This window comes from Homo sapiens, chromosome 5 (assembly GCF_000001405.40).
Source record: "Homo sapiens chromosome 5, GRCh38.p14 Primary Assembly".
NCBI classification, from domain to species: domain Eukaryota; kingdom Metazoa; phylum Chordata; class Mammalia; order Primates; family Hominidae; genus Homo; species Homo sapiens.
The window spans coordinates 98204145-98214500 of record NC_000005.10 but is presented as its reverse complement, the minus strand read 5'-3'; the positions used below and the strand labels follow the sequence as shown (position 1 = coordinate 98214500).

The window sequence follows — 10356 nt, the reverse complement described above, 5'->3', positions numbered from 1 at the left end:
AAGAAATATCACAGTTTATGACTAATCCGTCATTTGGGATGCTTGGTAAAAATAAGTATTACTAGGTCTTATCTTATTGACTCAAAAGGGCGTGTATGAATCTGTCTGTAATGGTGAATTCACCACTTGCTAAACACATAAATATAAGAGGATCATTAAAAATGACTATGTTTATATTTCTTACTGGTTAAATGGAGGGGATGAGTCTTACTACACATTTAAAAATTATTTACACATATGGGATCCCCTAGTTTTCTTTTGAAATAAACTCAAAAGAAAACTAAGGGATCCCATATGTGTAAATAATTTAAAAATTTTTAAGTTTAATTTTTTTTTCCACACAACATGTAGATCATTTATTTTCCTTCTAGTCCTGGGTTCAGTACATAGATGGCTTCTCTTCACCCTTTGGGTTGACAATTTTCTCCAAGTTGCTGCTGATGATATGATAAAGCTCAGCATAGAAGGCCCTCAGGTCCAGCACCATGGCCCTGAGCTCCCCATAGGCTGCCTCATCTGGCTCAAGCACCAAGGCCCGGTAATCCATTACATGAGTCTCCTCGGAGGCCTTGGCCACAGGATCCCCACGTTCTGAGAAGTACTTGGAAATGGTTGTCTGGAAAGCTTCCACTTTGATCTTGACGGCATTCACCCTCTCCAGCACCTTCTCCTGGATTGCTACCCCAAACTCATTTCCATCGTCAATCTTAGGGATCAGGTGTTGGATCCACGTAATCACCAGAATGCATTTCTGTTTGAGAGTCCAGACTTCTGGCTTAACCAGGGCAAAGAGGGACAGGACTTTCTCATTCCCAGGGAGAAATCCACACTTAGGGACGTCTTTCTTCTCCTGCTTATCTGTTTCCATCTCATCATCCTTGGGTGGAGGGTCTGGGATGGGGACGTCCAGTGGGGACCGGAGGGAAGTCAGGTCAGCCACATTGAGGGAGTCCTCTTGCAAGAGCTGATTCAGATATATGATTTTCTGTGGCAAGAATCTGCAGAGGAATTCTTCAGCCTCCTGGAAAAGATTCTGCCTGAAGACCTCCACCTGTTTAAGGGCTTCTCCGCTCAGGCGCACCCCACAAGGCTTGGCCATGCTGCTTCAGTCGCTACTAGAAGATCTCTTTTGAGATGTAAACAGCCTGATGAAACTCTAGGGATGAAGGTGTTGACTTGATGTATGCATCCCTTTGTATTTCTTTTTCTGTCAGTACTAAACAAATCAAAAGCTTTAAGGATTTGAAATGGAAACAGAACCCTGTGTTATAATTTTAGATGTGGTAAATCAGACTGTTCTGTTAAAAATATTGGATATTTCTGTATGGCCTTAAGGGCAACCTATATATTTTGCACAAGTTTCTCCAGTGCAAGAAGGAGAACAGCTCTGTTATCCACCATATTTTCAGAAAATGATCTGATCTGAGTGGCAGAAGTTCTGGGAAACTGTTTGCATACTCCTCTCTTCTGTCTAAGGATTTTTCTAGGCTTTAGAGCATCTATGAATTATCCCAAATTATATTAATGTGAGTTATATTTTCTGGAGAAGTGGTTCATGGCTTTCATTAGAATCTTAGAAAATGAAAAGCTAAGATTGACTGCATCTAATGGGATGGTAACTAAGCAGTGCAATCACCCAATACCATATTTTGTCAAGAAGGAAGGAGAAACAGCTATGTAAGACTTAAAACGTTCATGTTGGTGAATGTAATCTTTAAGCTTTCATAGTGTGATTTGTAATTTTTTTTTCTGTCAGGCAAGTAAAATATCTCAGTGAATCCAAATATAATTTTTAGTTTATAAAATAGTCTAAATGCAGCATGATAGTTTTGATATATATGCTTTGCATGGTGTGAAAGTCTGTGCAGCTTCTCTTTAATTTCACCATAAAGAGGTCCTATGCATTTGCCTCCCTGCTGTTTGATGCGGTTGGATCTTATCTATTCCACCATCTAATAATATGTGTCTCCTCCCCCCACAAACATGAGCATGCATACATTTTGAAGATCCCCATTTCTCTCTCTCTCATCCTTTTATTGCTGCTATGATAGATTTTTTTCTGATTCTTACTTGGGAGAGAATGGCAGAACGGGATCCCTAAAATCAGCCAAGCTGATTTAAAAATGTTTAAATTTTAAAACATTCCTGCTACATGGAAATGTGGAGCAGTTGATCTTCATGTGTCTGCAGTTCGAGAGTGATGGTTGTTCTGTTTGAGGAAGGAGGAAAAATGAAAGCAAGCAATCTAGTGCATGAGCATGAGAGAGGAGAGAGAGAGAGAGAGAGAATGAGAATGAATGTCTCCAGTATTTAAGCCCATTTATGAATGTTACTTCATTAAATGTTCCAAAATATATATAGCAGATTCATTGCAGGAATTGTTTAGAAGTTGTTGACATATTCTTTTGATCTGAAATCAAAATCTTAATTTTTATGTTGTTTTCAAGGCATTTTTTAGTTTATTAAAAAATGGTTTAAAGATAATTTTTTAATTCAACTCATATTCTTGGGTTTTTAGCAAATTTGGAGGAAAGCTGTTTTATTTTTATCAAAATTCCTCAATATGAGGCACAGATTGGTTGACTTTCATTGGCAACAAGGTTAGCGGTGGGGTTATGTCTTCCAACCACCTTTCCTTCCCAATTCTATCATGTGATATAATAAAAAATACGTTCGGGCTTCTTCCTGGGTTCCTGGCATAGAGTTCTTAAAACCCTTGGAAATTCCTCAGATATAACTGTCTTTTGTTATTCATCACAAGCCATCTGATTAAAGAGGTGGAACTTTCAATCCCACTCCCTAACCTGCTAAGAGAAGAGGGACTGGAGATTAAATTTAATCATGTGACCAATATTTTATTCAATCACATATACAAAAGAAAAGCCCGTATAAAAACCCTGAAACAATGAGGCTCAAGGAACCTCTGGGTTGGTGAGCCCACAGATGTGTTGGGAGCCTGGAAAGGATATGGAAGTTCTGCACAGGTCCTACGCCCCTAGCCTTGCCCTATGCGTCTCTTCCATTTGACTATTCCTGAGTTGTATCTTTTATAGTAAAACTGTAATAATAAATAGGGCACTCCTGAGTTTTGTCAGTCATTGCAGTGAATTATATAAAACTGAAAGAGGATCATGAGAACCCTGCATTTATAGCCAGTTGATCAATAGTATGGGTGGTCCCCATACCTCAGAAGTGTGAAACTTCTGAAGTGAGGGTAGTCTCGTGAGACTAAGCCCTCAAACCTGTGGTAACTGACATTAACTTTAGGTAGCTACTGTCAGAATTGAAGCGAATTGTAGGAATCCAGTTGGTGTTTGAGTGGAAATTACATACGCCACAACATATGAAATGTCTGGAAATAGAAGCAAGTCAAAGGGAGCTATGTTTTTAGGTTTCTGGCACCTTACTGATAACACCAACCCTTTTGACCAGGATGTCTCTGCAGTCATGGGCTCTCTATTAACATGAATTTCCTGAGTCCTGACTATGTGCAAATCACTATTCTAGAACTGCAAACGCCAGAAAGATGAATTAGACATTGCTTCTGTAATGAAGAATCTGAATTTACTAGCTAAAGAATTTCACATTCAAGAACTATACCATAAAATAGACAGATTATGTGGTAAAACCAAGGTATCATAAAAATGTGTAAAAGTGAACAGTTCCTGTAAGTTGGGAGAAAGTGAATACTACTACTACTACTACTACTAATAAACAGCTTCTGTGAAGAATGCTTATTTGGACTTGTCTTTGAAAAACTGAGCCAATTAAAGACATCCAAAGAGATACAGAAAAGCTCACCACCAATATGTTGAAAAATTTCTCACCTATATAACACTAGGTTATATAATTAGGAAGAAATAAGTCAAGAATGAGAGTTACTTTATGAAAGAGCAGATCCATTCAAGATACTGTTTCTTTTCCATTGGCACATTCTACAGTTTTAGTGTGGCACATTGAAGTATGCTACAAATGTTTGTTAAATAAAAGAATAAATAATCTTTGTTTTAAAAAGTCTTGTGCAAGTGCCATACTGAAGCTGGTGATAAAATGGCAAGAAAAAGAAAGACAGGGTCCTGGCCCTCATCTAAGTTTATGATTTGGGGTGAGAGAAACAATATTCTACTAATTTTACAGATACATATAAAATTATAGCTGTTGAAGTGCTATCAAAAAGAGGCTGTACAAGAGTGAAAACTGAATGAATGTGATGGTAGAGACTGGTTTAGTCAGGAAGGTTTGTCTGAGGAAATAAAAGAGTTAACTGGGTGAATGAGGCTAGAGTTTCATGCAAAGAGAATGGGACAAGGGTGATAACAAGGAAATAATGGGGCAATATAAGATTGGAGAAAGAAGATTAAGACTTCACATAGCAAATCATTATTTAAGACCAGTGGGGATCCATTAGTGAGTTAAACAGAAGGGGCTAGGTGACATGAGCTGTGTGTTTTTAAAAGATGCTTGGTGGATCCTGGGCTAGTCTTCTAACCTGTGAGTCATTTTCTTGATCTGCATAATGGAAATATTAACACTACCTTGCAGTGCTATTATGAGCATTTAGGAATAATAGATATGCATGTCCTGAAAAATATAATAGGGCTAGAGTAAATGATAGTTCTTTATCATTGGTTAATATTGGGGTGTCATGAAGATTGAATGGAATGACAAATGTGTTGTTCCTGAAAAAAATAAATGTTAAGTATGTATTTATCTCCTTCTCTTCTCTTCCTTGCATAGCATATTGAAAAGAGCATAAGAGTTTGAGTCAGAAAACTTGAGTGAGAGCTTTGATTATGATTCTCACCTTAGGCAGCTCCTTCTCTGAGGCTCAGTGCCTTCTCTGTAAAATCAAAACAATAATTCCTGACATATCTACTTTAAAATCATTGACAAGCTTTGGCAAGATAATGTATCTGAAAGTTCTCATAACCTGGGAAAATTTATAGAATAAATTGTGTTTTCATTATTTGACCTTCTCTTAATATTGGCAAGCATTTCAGTCTAATTCTGACAGTAAAGCCATCAATCACTGTGAATTTCTTCCCACTTCCATTACTTACAAATTCATCAATGTAGAGATTTCAGACTTTTGGTCAAATGATCCCACACCTGGGTAAACCTGTCAAACTGTCACCTTTGCATCTCACCTCTTAACTTTTCTGGCCTGTAGTGCAAATAATTTTTTTTAATGCCCAGTGTTCATCAGGAAAGACTAAGGTTTCACACTCTTTCAGTTCAGGTGCTAAATTCAATAATACCGAAATCCCTATTTTATTACTTTTCTTCGACTTCTGACTTCTTTCCTGAACTGATGTGATTTCTTCCTCAGTTAAGTTATAAAAGAGGACCAGACTTTTCACCTTGAAACCTAACCATTCTCTTGCTTGATTTTCTGCACTATTTATCAGATGTTCTTTTCATTCTTATTTTAGGTAAAAACGTAACATGGCTGTATTATATCTCATTTCCTTGATGAATAATTTATGTTTTAGGCTTATTAATTCTTTGAATTTTATTTTATCATGTTACCTGAGGCTTTTAACCTTTTATGAAAAAGTTAAGAAAAATATAGACACATAAAATTTTTGTATTTGTCTGCTAAATGATCTTGTAGCAAAGGAAAGATTAATTAAAGAACACGTCTGTGTTCAAATTTAAATTATGAAGAAGATATCTGTCAATACATTCAAAAGTGGAAGTTGTAATGTTATATAGTTTCACAAATGAGAGAAACAAAGTATACTACAGTGGAGTTGTGATTTACTTTGTATTGTCTTTCCTTGAATTCCTACTACCCAAATATGAAGTTTTAGTAAAGCATTTTATAACCTTAAGAATATAAATTTATATAGAAATCTCCTATTATACTTGAGGTTATAATATGAATGCAGGAAATAGAGCCATTAGTTTGCTATTGATTTTTTAATTTTTGACAGAAAAAGATAGCTTAAAAATTATTTTCATGTTTGCTCTTAGAACACAGCAGGCTTCTGTGTACATTCATTAAACACTCTGAGGAGGGAAGGATATGTCCTGAAGACATTATTTAGAAAGCCAGAAATATTCTTCAGTAAAGACAGTAAAGATGATAAGTGAAATATACAAATTTGCTAAAAAACTGAGAGGTACTGAAACCCAATTACCCTTTATAATCTTTTCATGCTTTTTGTTACCATAGGAATGTATAACTTGTGCAGTACAGCCTGTGCTGATAATACTAAGGAGTTAATGGGCATTCAATCTAGAGAAACATTGACCTGTTTGGATCCAGTGACTAAATCTATTTTTCTCCTTTATTGTAGCGAAGGAGGACAACCAACAAGGAATCTTGGGATCCCTCTCCCTATACCAATAGGTTTTACTGATCCCAGAGGTCAAAATTGGAGTTGGCTTCTGATATGGTTTGGCTGTGTCCCTACCCAAATCTAACCTTGTAGTTCCCATAATCTCCATGTGTTGTGGGAGGGAGCTGGCAGGAGGTAGTTAAACCATGGGGGCAGTTACCTCCATGCTGTTCTCGTGATAGTGAGTGAGTTCTCATGCGATCTGATGGTTTTATAAGGGGCTTTCCCCCTGCTTTGCTCAGCACTTCTCCTTGCTGCCACCATGTGAAGAAGGATGTGTTTGCTTTCCCTTCCACCATGATTGTAAGTTTCCCAAGGCCTCCCCAGCCCTGTGAAACTGTGAGTCAATTGACCTCTTTCCTTTATAAATTACCCAGTCCTGGATATTAGCAGCATGAGAACGAACTCATACAGCCTCTTTTTTCCTCTTTAGCTCTCTGTTGTTCACTCTTACCACTATCTCCAATTGTGCAAACAATAAAATAACTCACATTCAAAAAACTACTTTGTACTGGACACCTGCTATATGCCTTATGTCTAGCCCTAGTAATAATACTTTGATATTAGTACTATTATTAGTTTCATTTATATTCATAGGAAACCAGAAATTATGGAGTTTAAATAAGTTTCTAAGGATCACATAAGTAGGAAGTGATGGAGTTGGAATTCAAACCCAGGTATTGCATGCCAGGAAAATTAAATTGAGGCAAGAATGACATAATGCATCAAAGGAAGCCACCAATAACTAAAAGAGCAAACAAGAAAGAGATTTAGAGACTTCCATGGAAAACAAAACAAAATAAATCAAAAAACAAAACTTTTATTCTTAACATGGGATAGAATCATTTCTGTAATGGGTGCACTAATTTTTTTACAATAGATGAAAAATTTAATGAACCACAATGAAAGAATATTAGAAAAACACAGTCATGTATTTAGAAATAGCATGACACATAGCAACACCTGAGTAGGGGATGTCACAGTTTCCTTCTTTGAAGAGTATAAGGGAAATATAATACAACTCTCTGAGTTTGAAATTGTGAAGTTTCATGTGAAGATAAAGTCCATTGCTGTTCTACAATTCTTCCATTAAAACACAGTCACAGAAAGGGGCAAATAAAACCTTGCAAAGGCAGCTGCACGGACTAGAAATTTTGATCTTTAATATAAAGCTGTGAATATGGTAATGCTTGTCAAGAAAATTTAACTTAAGCTACAAATAATGTCATATAGGGGCAAAAGGAAGGCACCAGTAACTAAAATAGGAGCTTAGAGGCTAACCACACTGGTCTGAATGCTGGTGAGAATTTGAGAGTCCTCCAAAATACAATAAAGAGCAGCCCCACTGTAGGGCTGTGTAAGCTGTTGCATGAATGAAAGCCATGTTTCATGAACTCTATTTCGTAAGTGGAAACTGGGCTTTAGACTGGCTCTCTTGTCTCTCATTAGATGAAATGTTGGAATTTTTGATCCAAATTAGAGGTATACTTAAGAAATGGACATTAATAGAACCAATCAACAGTTTTAAAGAAATGCATTCAATTAATGGAACTATTTCTGGTGAAACGTGATACAAGCTTTTGAGAAATTTAAATGTTGGTCACTTTCTTTTAATAGTTAGCTTTGATACAAGTTTCTCCGATAAGAAATATAAGAACTCTGAGAAATCAATTTATGTTTTCATCAAGGTTGTAAAATAGCCTTTAAGTTTATAGAAAGTCTGATTCCAGCAACTAAAATATATTTACTTGTAGTATTCTGAAATCTCCAAGAGAAGCTATTGTATTACAGAGAGAATAGTGGACTGAGAAACAGATGGTGTTTGTTCCAGGTAGGGCTTTGTCTCATTTGGATATGTGGTAACAAGTGAATCACATCAACCTCTTGGGGCTAATTTTCTCATCTGTGAAAAAGTGTGAGTACTTTTTAGGTCATCAGTGAGGAATGTTTTGTTTCTAAGACTGCATAAAATTCCTCACTGTTATTCATGAGTTGAAAGTTAATAATTTGCATGGATAATTTTCTGTTTGATAAAAAGCACTGTTACCAAAAAGATGATTAAAATCACTTTGGAATTCTTATATAGTAAACTTGAGGAGCAGATGCCTGTTACTAATTGTTCTTGGCAGCTCACAGTGAGTTCCAAATGACAGAACTAGAAGCCATCACAAACAGTATTGGCATATTTAACAAGAAGCTCTGTTGATATTTGGTTTTGCAAATTCACATTAATGGAGACACCTGTTTAGAATATCAGCTACTACTGCGCAACCCCGTGGAAAGAAACAACAGAAAGAAAATTATTTAATTGGAATGAGTGTTACTAACTGCATAAACATTCTGTGGTCAATAATTTCAGTCCCAGCTGGAAAATAAATTGAAGAGACAGTGCATTAAGCAGATGATTGTGCTAAAGTAGCTTGCTGTATTCTTGTAAACAAGCATCAACTGATTTTTTTCTTTCTTATTCCTTTTACGTCATTGGTTCTCAAACACGGCTGTGCATTGTTGTTACCTGGGGAGCTTTAAAAAGCCCCCATTTCCCAGACTGCACTTCCATACAAATTAGAGCTGAATTTCCAGGCCTGGACTTCAGGCATTAGTGTTTTTAAAATTCCACACAGTATTCCAATGTGTAGAGTTGTTTGAGAACAACTATTCTACAGAAACAAGTTGTTTTTATATTCAAAGCTCTTATAAGTCTTAAAATGGGCTTGATTTAAGAAAAATAAAGGTCTATAAAAATTAAAATTAAAAGGCTTAAGAAAAATTAAGGTCCATAAAAATTAAAATGCTCATGATTTCAGGACCAGTGGAAATGCTTATTCAAGACATTTGTTTCCGAAATGTCAGTAGTAGATGTTATATTTTTACATAATTATTTCATTCACATTAATGTTGCTCTACTATGATATTGTAATAAATACAGATGTTAGCTTCATGGAAAAACTTAGAAATTTCCTTTTATTTAATTCAGCCTTAAAGAAATTTGACTCATGTTTACTAGTTAACTCTGAAATGCACTGAACTTTTCAATTTGTCATTAGAGTTCTTAGCTTTGCTAAGTCCACCTGAATATATTCATTATTAAGCTGAATCTTTTGATTTAACTCCCATATTTCAAGCTGTCTGTCTCTTGTCCATGGAAGACTTCCAGGTCTCCAGCTGCTAGGCTTTGCTTTCTTCCAAAAAGATTGTCATCTCCTTGGTCTTTGCTTCCTTTAATGCAAGTTCAAATTTTTGTTAAGTCAGACATATCGGGAACTTTAATTTTAACATTTTTTGCAGTTATATCTTTTTTTTTTTGCAATTGTGTCCTATGATTCCTGTATTAAATCAATTATTTCCCTTTTTAAAAACATATCCAAAGAATCCTTTCATTTCCTGTACCTTTTCAAACCTCTGCATATCCTGGGTGTCAAAGTCCATATTTTTCAAAGCAGCTTTGTTCTGAAATCCTGCTCTCCACAACTATGTCTTTTTTTCCCCAAGTGATTCCAATTGTTTCATTTTTTGTTTTTCCTTTCAACTTCTATTTTAGGTTCAGGGGATACATGTACGGGTTTGTTACATAGGTAAATTGCATGTTGTGGGCATTTAGCGTACAAACTATTTCATCACCCAGGGAATAAGCACAGTTTACAATAGGTAGTTTTTTGACCCTTACCCATCTCCCAGACTCCCCTCTCAAACAGACCCCAGTATCTATTATTCCCATCTTTATGCCCATTTGTACTCAATATTGAGCTCCTACTTGAAAGTGAAAACAGGCGGTATTTGGTTTTCTATTTCTGTGTCAATTTGCTTAGGATAATGGCCTTCAGCTTTATCCACATTGCTGCAAAGGACATGATTTCATTCTTTTTTATGACTGTGTAGTATTCCATGATGTATATGTACCACATTTTCTTTATCCAGTGCGGAGACCAGCTTGGTCAGGGAGACCCTAACCCAGCGGAGCTAGAGGAATTAAAGACACAGACACACACACACAGAAATATAGAGGTGTGAA

At 36.1% G+C, this 10356-nt stretch overlaps 2 pseudogenes; both read right to left on the bottom strand.

The window, feature by feature from the left end:
* PSME2P1 (proteasome activator subunit 2 pseudogene 1) lies at window positions 336-1128 on the bottom strand (annotated as a pseudogene).
* Window positions 9308-9824, bottom strand: LOC100420130 (RB1 inducible coiled-coil 1 pseudogene; annotated as a pseudogene).